A 14,720-nucleotide genomic window follows, 5' to 3' on the forward strand; every position below is an offset into this window, starting at 1 on the left:
TCTTCACAAGGCGGCAGGAGAGGGAGAGTGTGCAGGGGAAAAGCCAGACAATGATCAAGCAACCAGATCTCATGAGAACGCACTCACTATCACAAGCACAGAAAGGGGGAAGTCCACTCCCATGATCCAGTCACCTCCCACCAGGTTCCTCCCCTGACATGTGGGGATTACAATTTGAGGTGAGATTTGGGTGGGGATACTGAGCCAAACCATATCAGGGGAGATGGGAGGAAACCTCAAATCCATCTCCCTGAGGAGCTTGGGGGTAGGGTTTTTAAGGGTTTTAGGGTGGGCTGAAGTGTAGAGATTGTTGATTGGTTGAAGAGTGCAGGCTGAAGTTATGGGAAAGAAGGATGAAGAAGCTGTGTTCTCATGCTAATCCTGTTCCACAGTGGAGGTCTTCAAACTGGTTGCTTGAATGCAGTATCCAAAAACCATCTTAAAGAAGGCCAGGCACAGTGGCTCACATCTGTAATCCCAGCACTTTGGGAGGCCAAGATGGATGGATCATTTGAGGTCAGGAGTTTGAGACCAGCCTGGCCAACATGGTGAAACCCTGTCTCTACCAAAACTACAAAAATTAGCTGGGCATGGTGTCACACGCCTGTAATCCCAGCTACTCAGGAGGCTGAGGCAGGAGAATTGCTTGAACTCAGGAGGTGGAGGTTGCAGTGAACCAAGATTGCACCAGTACACTCCAGCCTGGAGGACAGAACAACACTTTGTCTTAAAAATAAAAATGAAAAACATCTTCAGGGATCCTTAAACAAAAGACCCTTAAATTAAAATTAAATTAATACAGAAATGGGGGTCTCACTTTGTCACCCAGGCTGATCTCGAATTCCTGGGCTCAAGTGATCCTCCCACCTCAGTCTCCCATCAAATCAATTCTTAAACAGTCTTATGACCCTAATGCCAGAAGTCCCCTCTATAGGAACAAGGGGTGTATGCGAATGGTCAGTCTCTAGTAACTTTTAGCAACAAGAAAGTAGGCTAAAGTGCAGCCTGATCATTGCTTAATCATAGCTATATTTCTGTCCAGAACAAGACATGCAATTCTTATCAACCCTGTGGGGACAGTTTTAGAATTACTAATTTATAGAGTTAAACATAGTAACATATAGAAATGATCTTATACTAATAGTTTGATTCGTATTTTTCACATAATTTACTGATTGGACTTCATAAAAACTTACAAGATGTTACAGACCACAGGCTGTTTGACTCCCCATGTAATAAAAACGTAACACTGGGCCAAGCAGATTTCCTAGACACGACTTTTATTTTGGGGCTTGTGCTCAAGCGCAAGGGGAACAGCACAGCGCAAGGATCCTCAGACTGACTCTTCGAAAAAGCTGGTAGAAAATTTTTTTTGAGACAGTTTCACTCTGTTGCCCAGGCTGGAGTGCAGTGGCGCGATCTTGGCTCACTTCAACCTTCGCCTCCCAAGTTCAAGATTCTCCTGCCTCAGCCTCCCGAGTAGCTGGGATTACAGGCACCCGCCACCATGCCCTGCTAATTTTTTCTTTGTTTTTTGAAACGGAGTTTCGCTCTTGTTGCCCAGGCTGGACTGCAATGGCGAGATCTTGGCTCACCACAACTTCTGCCTCCCGGGTTCAAGTGATTCTCCTGCCTAAGCCTCCCGAGTAGCTGGGATTACAGGCATGCACCACCATGCCCAGCTAATTTTGTATTTTTAGTAGAGACGGGATTTCTCCATGTTGGTCAGGCTGCTCTCAAACTCCCGACCTCAGGTGATCCTTCCGCTTCGGCCTCCCAAAGTGCTGGGATTACAGGCATGAGCCACCGTGCCCAGCCTAATTTTGTATTTTTAGTATAAGAGACAGGGTTTCACCATGTTGATCAGGCTGGTCTGAAACTCCTGACCTCAAGTGATCCACCCGCTTCAGCCTCCCAAAGTGCTACGATTACAGGCGTGAGCCACCATGCCCAGCCAATTATGGCATATTTAAAGAATAGAAAACAAATTGGCTTCAGTTAATGGAGTTTGTACAAAATGCATTTGTAAGAACCAAGTCAGGATCCCAAATTGATGCTATATTTATAGAATAAAGACAAGAAAAGTTGATTACTCAATTAAAGCAATCCCAATATTAAAAGATATAAAAATTTCTCTTTTTTCTTTTTTTAAAGAAGAGAGCTCATCGTGTTGCCCACACTGGTCTCCAACTCCTGGGCTCAAGTGGTCCTACCACCTCATCCTCCCAAAGAGCTGGGATTATAGGCATGAGCCATCCATTGTGCCTGGCCAAGAATTTCTTTAAGGAGTAATAATCTGTACGAGTGTCACAGATAAAAATTCCAGCATGTTTTGCATTTTCTCAAAGTACACTCCAAAGACATGATATTCAGCACATCATGCTCCAAGTTAAGCTCTATTGTTGATTCCCCCCTTCCTTAATATTCTGCCATATTTCTCCTGTTCTTTCTTATTCTTTTTCTTTTTTTTGAAACGGAGTTTCGCTCTGCCGCCCAGGCTGAAGTGCAATGGCGCAGTCTCAGCTCGCTGCAACCTCTGCCTCCTGGGTTCAAGCAAATCTCCTGCCTCAGCCTTCCGAGTAGCTCAGACTACAGGCACTTGCCACCACACCCGGCTAATTTTTTTTTTTAATTTTTGTTTGTTTGTTTGTTTGTTTATTTATTTATTTATTTATTTATTTGAGACGGAGGTTCACTCTGTCGCCCAGGCTGGAGTGCAGTGGTACGATCTCAGCTCACTACAACCTCCGCCTCTCAGGTTCAAGCGATTCTCCTACCTCAGTCTCCCACGTAGTTGGGATTACAGGCTCCTGCCACCATGCCTGGCTAATTTTTGTATTTCTAGTAGAGATGGGGTTTCACCATGTTGTCCAGGCCGATCTTGAACTCCTGACCTCAAGTGATCTGCCCACCTCAGCCTCCCAAAGTGCTGGGATTATAGGTGTGAGCCACTGCGCCCAGCCTCTCCTGTCCTTTCTCATAATTTAGTAGATGAGCTCCTTGCATTTTGGATGCAATGAACAAGCCCCACCAAAGGGAAAGATATTTATTTAGGGCTCCCAGGGACAGGGACTGGTGAGCCATCTATGTCTGAGGCTATTCAGGGGCCAGGCAGCCCTGGGGGGTTCTCACTTGCCCCTGGTTGCCCAGCTTGCTTGCTACTCAACACTTCCGCCTCATGCCATGGATGACTTCTGCCCTCCTTGTCTAATAACCAGCCAACTCTTTCTGCTTTCTCCAGCCCAAGAGGGAGCCCATCTGCTTTGTTCAGCCAATTGCCTCATCCTTGCTGGGCAGAATTCATTACTCCAAGCTGCTCATGCAAAAGGATAGATGACCCTGCGCTGAGCTGCCCAGGCCTGGTTCAAATCCTGGCTTGACCTTGGGTAAGTCATTTGATGTTTCTGGTTTTACTTTCTCCCATGTCTAGCTACAAACACAAATCTCAGTGGCATTGCTTTGAGAATAAAATGTGCTGGCCCCTGAACTGCAAAATTTGTATTCTTCCAAATGACTAAGGAGAAAACCAAAAACATCCAAGAGCAGCTTTCTTCAGCCGGAAACTGTAAACTGAGTGAATTTAAGGTCATCTGGTAAAGGGACCTTAAAAATAAGCACGGAAAGACAGCAAGCGTCCTTTTTAAAAGTTATGAAACATTGTACGCACACACAGTTTATTTTAACCTTAAATTTCAGATCTGTACCTTGTTTTACCTTCTCCTTTAGAATTCTTTGTTTGTTTGTTTGTTTGTTTGTTTGCCGGGCATGGTGGCTCACGACTGTAATCCCAGCACTTTGGGAGGCCAAGGTGGGCAAATCACGAGGTCAAGAGATCGAGACCATCCACTGCCAACATGATGAAACCCCATCTCTACTAAAAATACAAATAATTACCTGGGCGTGGTGGCACGTGCCTGTAGTCCCAGCTACTCAGCCTGGTGACAGAGTGAGACTCCGTCTCAAAAAAAAAAGAATTATATATATATTTAATACCCTCTACTAACACCCTTTTTCTAAATTTAAAGTAATTTTTTAGATTGTTAGGGGTCAGGCATGGTGGCTCACTTCGGGAGGCCGAGGCAGGCGGATCACGAGTTCAGGAGTTCAATATCAGCCTGGCCAACATGGTGAAACTCCGTCTCTACTAAAAATACAAAAATTAGCCAGGCATGGTGGCGGGCACCTGTAATCCCAGCTACGCAGGAGGCTGAGACAGAGTCTGGCTCTGTTGCCCAGGCTGGAGTGCAGTGGCGCTATCTTGGCTCACTATAAGCTCCGCCTCCCAGGTTCACGTCATTCTCCTGCCTCAGTCTCCTGAGTAGCTGGGACTACAGGCGTCCGCCACCATGCCCAGCTAATTTTTTGTATTTTTTAGTAGAGACTGGGTTTCACCGTGTTAGCCAGGGTAGTCTCGATCTCCTGACCTCGTGATCCACCTGCCTCAGCCTCCCAAAGTGCTGGGATTACAGGTGTGAGCCACCACGCCCAGCAGGGTATTTTTAGTAGAGACGGGGTTTCACCATTTTGGCCAGGCTGGTCTCCAACTCCTAACCTTGTGATCCGCCTGCCTCAGCCTCCCAAAGTGCTCAGATTACAGGCATGAGCCACCATGCCCAGCCTCTTGCACTTCTAACTCTACCTCATGTCTGCTTCCCAGAGGACTTGGATCCACACAGTCACTTTTGAGGTGACCTGCAGTCTCCATCCCTAGGTAGGAGAAGTTGAGAATCTAGTTGTAGTTTCTTCTTCTTTTTTTAAGAGCCTTATTGAGATATAATTCGCGTACCACACAATTTACCCTTTTAAAGTGTACAATTAAATGGTTTTTAGTATATTCACTGATACGTACAACCATCACTACAGTCCTTTTATTTATTTATGTTGAGACAGGATCTCACTCTGTTGTGCAGGCTGAAGTGCAGTGGTGTGATCATAGCTCACTGCAGCCTCGACCTCCTGGGCACAGGCGATTCTCCTGCCTCAGTCTCCCAAGTAGTTGGAACCACAGGTGCATGCCACCATGCTTGGCTAATTGAGTTTTTTTTTTTTTTTTTGTAGAGACAAGGTATCCCTATGTTGCCCAGGCTGGTCTTGAATTCCTGGGCTCAAGGGATCCTGCCCCCTCGGCCTCCCAAAGTGTTAAGATTACAGGCATTAGCCACTGTGCCTGGCTCCACAGTGCATTTTAAAACATTTTTATCACCTCTAAAAGAAAGACTGCTTGCCTTCCACAGTCACTTCCCTGCTAGGCATCCCTCCACCTCAGCCCCAAGAGACCACTACTCTACTTTTTGTCTCCACAGACTTTCCCAATCTGAACATTTCCTATCACACAATATGGGGTGTTTTGTGTGTGGCTTCTTTGCTTAGCCTAATGCTTTCAAGCTTCATCCATGTTGTAGCATGTGTCGGTACTTCATTTCTCTTTATGGTAAAATCATAATCTATTGTATGGATAGAGAAGTCGTTTCTCACAGGAGCCTGCTGCCTCCCTCTGTTATTTACCATTGGCCTCAGTCACTTGGGGCCTCCTTTCCATTCTTTGCATTCCCACTCTTGCCAAGCTTGATGCTGGCATCTAGCCTGTGGAATCACTGTCTCTTCCACCTGCACACCTGCAAGGCCCTTCACCCAGATCCTTACCTCCTTCTCATTCAGATTGCAGGTATGAAGTCATCTCCTGAGAGAAGCTTTCCCTGACCACAACAATCTCACACCTTACAACATCCATAAACTCACCACCCAATTTTACTTTCTTCAGATCTCTAGTTATTATCTGAAATTATCCGTGCGTCTTCTTTATTGTCTATCTCTCCACTAGAACATGAGTTCTGTAGGAGCTATGACTTTGCCTTGTTTTGTTTGCCATCTACAGCAGAGCCTAGTATATAAAAGAAGATTAACAAATATTTGCTGAATGAATGAATGAAAGTTATCTTCAATTTATAAGGAGAACTACGAAACACTGCTGAGAGAAATCATAGATGATACAAACAAATGGAAACCCATCCCATGATCATGGATTGTAAGAACCAATATCATGAAAATGCCTGTACTGCCCAAAGCAATCTACAGGTTCAGTGCAATTCCTATCAAAATACCAATATCATTTTTCACAGAATTAGAAAAAACAATTCTAAAATTCCTATGACACCAAAAAAGACCCCAAATGCAAAGAAATCCTAAGCAAAAAGAACAAATCTGGAAGCATCACATTACTCGACTTCAAATTACACTACAAGGCTATAGTTACCAAAACAGCATGGTACTGATATAAAAGTAGACATATAGACCAATGGAACACAATAGAGAACCCAGAAATAAAACCAAATACTTACAACCAGCTGATCTTCAACAGAGCATACAAACACATAAATTGCAGAAAGGACACCCTATTTAATAAATGGTGCTGGGAAAACTGGTAAGCCACATGTAGAAGAATGAAACTGGATCCCTGTCTCTCACTTTATACAAAAATAAACTCAAATCAACTCAAGATGGATCAAAGACTTAAATCTAAGACCAGAAACCATAAAAATTCCAGAAGAAAAGCCTAGGAAAAACTCTTCTGAACATTGACCTATGCAAAGAATTAATGACTAAGACTCAAAAGCAAACGTAACAAAACAAAAAATAAACAAATGAGACCTTACTAAACTAAAAAGCTTTAATACAACAAAAGAAATAATCACCAGAGTAAACAGATAACCCACAGAATGGGAGAAAATATTTGCAAACTATACATCTGACAAAAGACTAATATCCAGAATCTACAAGGAACTCAAACAAATTAGCAAGGAAAAAAAACAAGTAATCCCATCAAAAAGTGGGTAAAAGACGTGAATAGATATTTCTCAAAAGAAGATATACAAATGGCTAACAAATATATGAAAAAATGCTCAACATCACTAATCATAAGAGAAATGCAAATTAAAACCACAACGAGGTACCACCTTCTGCAAGAACAGCCATTATTAAGAAGTCCAAAAACAATAGATATTAGCATGAATGTGGTGAAAAGGGAACGCTTATACACTGTTAGTGAGAAAGTAAATTAATACAATCTCTCTCTCTTTTTTTTTTTTTTTTTGAGACAGAGTTTTGCTCTTGTTGCCCAGGCTAGAGTGCAATGGTACGATCTCGGCTCACCGCAACCTCCGCTTCCCGGGTTCAAGCAGTTCTCCTGCCTCAGCCTCCCAAGTAGCTGGGATTATAGGCATGCACCACCATGCCCGGCGCCCGGCTAATTTTATATTTTCAGTAGAGTCAGGGTTTCTCCATGTTGGTCAGGGGGATCTCAAACTCCCGACCTCAGGCAATCCACTCGCCTCGGCCTCCCAAAGTGCTGGGATTACAGACGTAAGCCACTGCACCCGGCCAATTAATACAATCTCTATGGAAAACAATACGTGGTCGGGCATGATGGCTCATGCCTATAATCCCAGCATTTTGGGAGGCTGAGCTGGGTGGATCACTTGAGGTCGGGAGTTCGAGACCAGCCTGGCCAGCATGGTGAAACCCCATCTCTACTAAAAATACAAACATTAGCTGGCATGAGAGCATGCGCCTGTAGTCCGAGCTACTTGGGAGGCTGAGACAAGAGAATCGCTTGACCCAGGAGGTGGAGGTTGCAGTGAGCCAAGATCACGCCACTGCACTCCAGCCTGGGAGACAGACAGAGACTCTGTCTCAAGAAAAAAAAGAAAAGAAAAGGCAGATTTCTTAAAAAATAAAAGTAGATCTATCTGCCTTTGGAGTCCAGGAGAATAAAATAAAAAAAGAAAAAGTAAATCTATCCGTGGGATTGATCCAGCCATCTCACTACTGGATATCTACCTAAAAGAAAAGAAGTCATTATATAAAAAAGACAGCTGCATGTGTAATGTTATTGCAGCACAATTCACAATTGCAAAAATATGGAACCCACCTAAGTGTCCATTGACCAAAGATGAAGAAAATGTGGTATATATACAACATGGAATACTACTCAGACATAAAAAAAGAATAATATGTCTTTTGTAGCATCTTGGATGGAGCTGGAAGCCATTATTCTAAATGAAGTAATTCAGGAATGGAAAAGAAGAGAGTAGGAAGGGCATAATCGTTTATAAAATTATCTTTGGGAACCTGGTTTAAGGATGACTTTCCTGCCAAATTAGATGACTCTTGCTCCATTTTGATCTCATTAATTTATTTTTATTTTATTTATTTATTTGTTCTTTTCTTTGAGACAGGGTCTCACTCTGTTGCTCAGGCTGGAGTGCAGTGGTGTAATAATGGCACACTGGAGCCTCAACTTCCCAGACTCTAGCAATCTTCCCGCCTCAGCCCCCCAAGTAGCTGGGACAACAGGTGTGCACCACCACGCCTGGCTAATTTTTGTATTTTTTGTAGAGTCGGAGCCTTACTATCTTGCCCAGGCTTGTCTCAAACTTCTAAACTCAAGCAATCCACCTGCCTCAGCCTCCCAAAGTGATGGGATTACAGGTGTGAGCCACTGTGCCCAGAATTTTTATTCTTTTTTATACTGTTTCCTCTAACTGCACAATATATTTTTTTTTGAGCCAAGTTCTCTCTGTCACCCAGGCTATAGTGCAGTGGTGTGATCTCAGCTTGCTGTAACCTCTAACTCCTGGGCTCAAGTGAAGTGATCCTCTCCCATTCAGCTTCCTGAATAACAGGGACTGCAGGCACCAGCCACAATGCCCAGCTAGGTTTTTTTTTATTTTTGTAGAGACAGAATCTCGTTATGTTGGCCAGGCTGGTCTTGAACTCCTGGCCCCAAGCGATCTTTCTCCCTAGGCCTCCCAAAGTGCTGGGATTACAGGTGTGCCACTGTGCTCGGCCAAGCTTTTTTTTTTTTTTTTTTTTAACCAACTCTTGGAAAGAAAATTTGTGAATGTGCTTCCAGAAAGTAATATTTCTCATTAACTTAGTCCCTCCCATAATTGTGCACTTGCCTGGTTATTTCTCACCAAAGAAATTAACAGCTAATTTGTCAGCAAAGTGGCTAAATTGCCAGCTTTACAGACTGCCTTATTAACACTTCTAAAATTTATTATTAACATTTTACAAGATCCTAATCTGTATTGTCACAAGAACTCTCCACAGTGGCCTAACAAATCCAATGTTTTCAACCAAAATATATACTGCCATTGTAAACCATTTACACATTGCACACCTTCTCTACACAAAATAAATGGGGACGTGCCCTAAATTGCCTTGCATTCTAGAAATTGTTGATATTCAGCCTCATAACTGCCATGCTGTAATCTTTCCTTTACCACTGAGGCTGAAAGTATGCAAACTATATGTCTCAGACTCACCTGACCGGTGAATTCTGATGGATGCCATGAGAGGCATCCATCCAGATTAGAAAGTGGAGGAAGGTTGTGCAATTCTGTTTCTGGCAGAGGTGTTGGCAGGAGTTCTGGGCCATGGGTTGCTGTTGGGTATCAGTAACAGGGAGCAATCCCAGGCTCCAAGTGTCCTGCCCTGTAAATATAAAGGGCAGCTCTAGCCTGGCTGTAGGCTTGGGGCTCTGGATAACACAACTGTCCCTGTAAGCTCCTCCAGCCCAGGAGCAGTAGCAGCTGCCTGCAGGGTGACACCACCCTTCCCCATTTGTTCCTATAGGTCTCCTAACCCTTTTTGTAACCAATTCCCTGTTTCAAGTGCTCCTATGCTTGAAAGGCATGTGTGTCAGGCACCAAAGGCTGGATGAGACAAAAAGAGCAGGAGTAATTTATATGAAAGAGCTTGACTCAGTGGGCCTCCAGTATAGGAGGCAAGTTGTTGAAGGTGTCAAGTCCAAGTACAAATACAGTCACACCACTTTCGTTTTTCCATCAAAACACTACTCCGTTAACCAGAATGGAGTACCCACCTATTCCATTAACCAGAAGTCCAGTGTGCCCTGCTCTTCTTGGAATAACTTCACACACACTCTCCTACCAGCCTGCTGCAGTGTTTAAGAAACCTGGGATTTTAATATTATTCAGTGCAGAAGAATGGTTTTTGAAATACATATCGTCAGGTTTTTCTGGACTGGATACTAACTGATACAGTGTTTGGTACCAGAATGGTATAAAAAGAAATGACCGGCCGGGCACGGTGACTCATGCTTGTAATCCCAGCACTTTGGGAGGCCGAGGCAGGTGGATCACCTGAGGTCAGGAGTTCGAGACCACCCTGGCCAACATGGTGAAACCCCATCTCTACTAAAAAATACAAAAATTAGCCAGGCTTGGTGATATGCCCCTGTAGTCCCAGCTACTCGGGAGGCAGAGGCAGAAGAGTCTCTTGAACCCGGGAGGCAGAGGCTGCAGTGAGCTAAGATTGCATGACTGCACTCCAGTCTGGGCAACAGAGAGAAACTCCATCTCAAAAAAAATAATAATAATAGTAATAATTTGTTCGGCCAGGTGCAGTGGCTCACACTTGTAATCCTGGCATTTTGGGAAGCCGAGACAGGCAGATGACAAGGTCAGGAGTTCGAGACCTGCCTGGCCAATATGGTGAAACCCCGTCTCTACAAAAAATACAAATTAGCCGGGTGTGGTGGCAGGCACCTGTAGTCCCAGCTACTCGGGAGGCTGAGGCAGGAGAGTCGCTTGAACCTGGGAGGCGGAGGTTGCAGTGAGCCGAGATGGTGCCATTGCACTCCAGCCTGGGTGACAGTGCGAGATTCCACCTCAAAAACAAACAAACAAACAAACTCTGGTTTCTGGTAGCCATAGGACTAATAAAGACCCAAGTTTTGGTGGTTTGGGTTGCAGAATTAATTTTTTTAAATTTTTATTTATTTATTTATTTTTGAGACAGAGTCTCATTCTGTCGCCCAGGCTGGAGTGTAATGGCACAATCTGGGCTCACTGCAACCTCTGCCTCCTGGGTTCCTGCCTCAGCTTCCTGAGTAGCTGGGATTACAGGCACGTGCCACCACACCCAGCTAATTTTTGTAGTTTTAATAGAGATGGGGTTTCGCATGTTAGCTAGGCTGGTCTCAAACTCCTGACCTCAGGTGATCCACCTTCCTCGGCCTCCCAAAAGTGCTGGGATTACAAGCGTGAGCCGCTGTGCCTGGCCGAGGTTGCAGAATTATGATAAACTGATTTAGAAGCTGATGCAGGACAAGGAACCCCCAAAACTGGGGCTTAGCCTAGGAATGTTCTTGGCTTCCTCCAGGAAAGAATTCAAGGGCAAGCCGGTAGTATCAGATGACAATCTTTTATTGAATGGTCTTGTTCCTTGTGGAGCAGGGATAACTCATGGGCAGTGTCCCCAGCCTCTGCAGAGTACGGGCTGTTGGGAACTATATTTATGCCCACTTTCGACTATATGCAAATTAAGGAGTGGGTTAATGCAAATTGAGGAGAGCGTTGTTTAGAACTTTCTAGGAAAAGGGCGGTAACTTTTGGGTCCTTGCCCTGGCATTTGTAAGCTGTCATGGGCTGATGGGAGTGTCTTAACGCTAATGAGCAGCGAGGGCAGCCAGAGGTTTCCTTTGGTGCCACCTGCTGGTTCCTGCCAGCTTCTCCCTTTTTTCTCATGTGGAAACTGGGGCATAAATTGAGAACTGAGACCTTGAGAAATTTTTTTTTTTTTGAGACAGAGTCTCGCTCTTTCAGGCTGGAGTGCAGTGGCGAGATCTCAGCTCACTGCAACCTCCGTCTCCCTGGTTCAAGTGATTCTCTTGTCTCAACCTTCCAAGTAACTGGGATTACAGGCGAGGGCCACCACGCCCAGCTAATTTTTGTATTTTTAGTAGACTTTACCAGCTTGGTCAGGCTGGTCTCAAACTCCTGACCTCAAATGATCCACCCGCCTCGGCCTCCCAAAGTGCTGGGATTACAGACGTGAGCCACAGCGCCTGGCCAATTTTTTTTTTTTAACATTTTTTCCTTTTTTTTTTTTTTTTGTAGAGACAGTCTCCCTGTGTTACCCAAGCTGGTCTCTAGAACTCCTAGGCTTAAGCGATTCTCCCACCTCCGCCTCTCAAAGTGTTGAGATTACAAGTGTGAGCCACTGCAGCTGGCTGAGAATTGGGGATATTTGTGTGGATTTGGAAGAATATAAAAATCTTGAGAAACACCAAAGGCCCTGAATACCCATTGCAAGTGGAATCACGCTTCTCTCCCATTTCTGAGAAGACTAGGCTCCTTTTCCAGGGTGAAAACACCCCGTTAGTTGGAGTCTGTTCTATGTGATGGGGCATGTGCTTTGAACCAGCAATCAAAATAATATTTCTCTCATAGTCAGAATACAGGTCCAGGAATCAAGTGGTACAAGTTGGAATAGCTCCTCTCACTGTTAAATTTAGTAGTCCTAAGTTTTGCTTCCTGCTCCTGAATATTTTTGTGTTTTTTTACATCTTTTTTTTTCTTTTTTTGAGACAAGGTCTCACTTTATCTCCCAGGCTGGAGTGCAGTGGCACAATCTTGGCTCACTACAGACTCAAATTTCTGGGCTCAGATGATCCTCCCACCTCAGCCTCCCAAGTAGCTGGGACTCTACAGGCACACATCATCATACCCAGCTAATTTTTTAATTTTTTGTAGAGACAAGGTCTCGCCATGTTGCTTACGTTAGTCTCAAACTCCTGGACTCAAGCAATCCTCCTGCCTTGACCTCCCAAAGTGTTAGGATTACAGGTGAAGGCCACTGTGCCTGGCCTTACGGGTCATTCTTTATTTCCAAGAGAAGAATGCTTCCACCAAGGGACACATTATTGGTTCCAAGTGAACCAACTATTTGGGACTCTTTATGTCACTGAACCAATATGCAAAGAAAGAGGCAAATTACTGACTGGAGTAATTAATTCCAATTACAAGAAGACGTAGAGTTGTTACTACATAGTGGAGCAGGGAAGACTAAGTCCAAAAACCTCTCTGAATGATTTTTTTTTTGAGACAGAGTCTCAAAAAAAAATTGAGCAATCTTGGCTCACTGCAACCTCCATCTCCCAGGTTCAAGTGATTCTCCTGCTTTAGACTCCTGAGTAGCTGGGATTATAAGTGTGCGCCACCATGCCCAGATAATTTTTGTATTTTTAGTAGAGACAGGGTTTCACCGTCTTGGTCAGGCTGGTCTCAAACTCCTGACCTCAGGTGATCCACCTGCCTCAGCCTCCCAAAGTACTGGGATTACAGGCATGAGCCACCGTGCCTGCCCTCTGAATGATTCTTAATACCTCCAAGTCCAGTAGTAACAGTTAAAAGAATTATTGCATCAACTCAATGAAGCCTGAGTGACTAGGATTCTGATTCATCAAGAATGAAGGTTTATGTCACACCATAAGGTAAAGAATCCCAGCTAGCTGTGTTCCTTGCTGTGGTCAAAGAGAAGACAAAATTGGTAGTTGAAAAAATTATAAATATCAACTAAAGCCTTATGCTCAGTTACAAAAATGAGGACTGTAGCAGCTATGCATATTTTCTACTTTGCTTGTTATACACTTATTATTTATATAAGAATTATTGATGGAGTTTAAGTTTATAATCTATTCTTTAGGTAAAAGAATATTCCAGGCTGGGCGTTGTGGGTCATGCCTGTAATCTCAGCACTTTGGGAGGCCAAGGAGCCCGCATCACTTGAGTCCAAGAGTTTGAAACCAGCTTGGCCAATATGGTGAAACCCCATCTCTACTAAAAACACAAAAATTAGTCAGGCGTGGTGTCACATGCCTGTAGTCTCAGCTACTCAGGGAGGATGAGGTGGGAGGATTGGCTGAGCCCGGGAGGCAGAGGCTACAGTGGGCCAAGATTGTGCCACCGTACTCTAGCCTGGGTGACAGAGTGAGACTCTGTCTTAAAAACAAAACAAAACAAAACAAAAAACAAAAGAATATTCCAGTGGGATGATGACTGAACTAGAAAATAATTAACATAAACTAGAGACAGACTGAGTTATTGTTTAATGGGTACAGAGTTTCAGTTGGGGAAAATAAAAAAGTTCTGGAGATGGATGGTGGTGATGGTTGTATAACAATGTGAATGTACTTAATGCCACTAACATGAACATTTAAGAATGGTTAAGATGAGCTGGGCGTGGTGATGTGCACCTATAATTCCAGCTACTCTGGAGGCTGAGGTAGGAGGATCCAGACCAGCCCGGGCAACATAGCGAGACCTCATCGCTAAAAAGAATAAATGGTTACAATGGCAAATTTTATGTGCTGTATAATTTACTACAACTTTTTAAAAAGCACAAAACTATTATAGGATGCAAATTGGGATTCAAATATGAGTAGAAGGGTATGGCATAGTCAAAGGAGAAGGGAAAATTAGTAATCTAGTATCTCTTAGCCCTAAACCCACCCTTTCTCTCTCTGTTACCCTCTCTAGCATGTTGGGGCTGGAGTTCTGTACACCAGGCATCCCAGCCCCTGGGCCACTGGCCAGTTAGGAACTGGGCTGCACAGCAGGAGGTGGGTGGTGAGCTAGCAAGCGAACCTTCATCTGTATTTACAGCTGCTCCCTATCACTCTCATTACTGCCTGAGCTCCGCCTCCTATCAGATCAGCAGGGCATTAAATTCTCATAGGAGCACGAACCCTATTGCAAACTGTGCTTGTGAGGGATCTGGGTTGCCCCCTCCTTATGAGAATCTAATGCCTGATGATCTGTCCCTGTCTCCCATCACCCCCAGATAGGACTGTCTAGTTGCAAGAAAACAAGCTCAGGGGTCCCACTGATTCTACATAATGTTAAGTTGTATAA

At 44.2% G+C, this 14,720-nt stretch overlaps 1 long non-coding RNA gene across 1 annotated transcript in view, besides 2 other annotated features; it reads right to left on the minus strand.

Moving 5' to 3' along the window:
* Positions 1-14,720, minus strand: part of LOC124903193 (uncharacterized) — a 53,667-nt gene that overhangs the window by 17,944 nt on the left and 21,003 nt on the right. The gene's annotated exons all lie outside the window — the stretch shown is intronic.
* Positions 11,358-11,407: a silencer, noted in NCBI's record as "silent region_5440". NCBI's record gives its function as "represses an Ori minimal core promoter by ATAC-STARR-seq in GM12878 lymphoblastoid cells {active_cell/tissue: GM12878}" and the evidence as "EXISTENCE:reporter gene assay evidence [ECO:0000049][PMID:35858748]".
* Positions 11,688-11,737: an enhancer, noted in NCBI's record as "active region_7876". NCBI's record gives its function as "activates an Ori minimal core promoter by ATAC-STARR-seq in GM12878 lymphoblastoid cells {active_cell/tissue: GM12878}" and the evidence as "EXISTENCE:reporter gene assay evidence [ECO:0000049][PMID:35858748]".

Source organism: Homo sapiens, chromosome 13 (assembly GCF_000001405.40).
Source record: "Homo sapiens chromosome 13, GRCh38.p14 Primary Assembly".
In the NCBI taxonomy this organism is placed as follows: domain Eukaryota; kingdom Metazoa; phylum Chordata; class Mammalia; order Primates; family Hominidae; genus Homo; species Homo sapiens.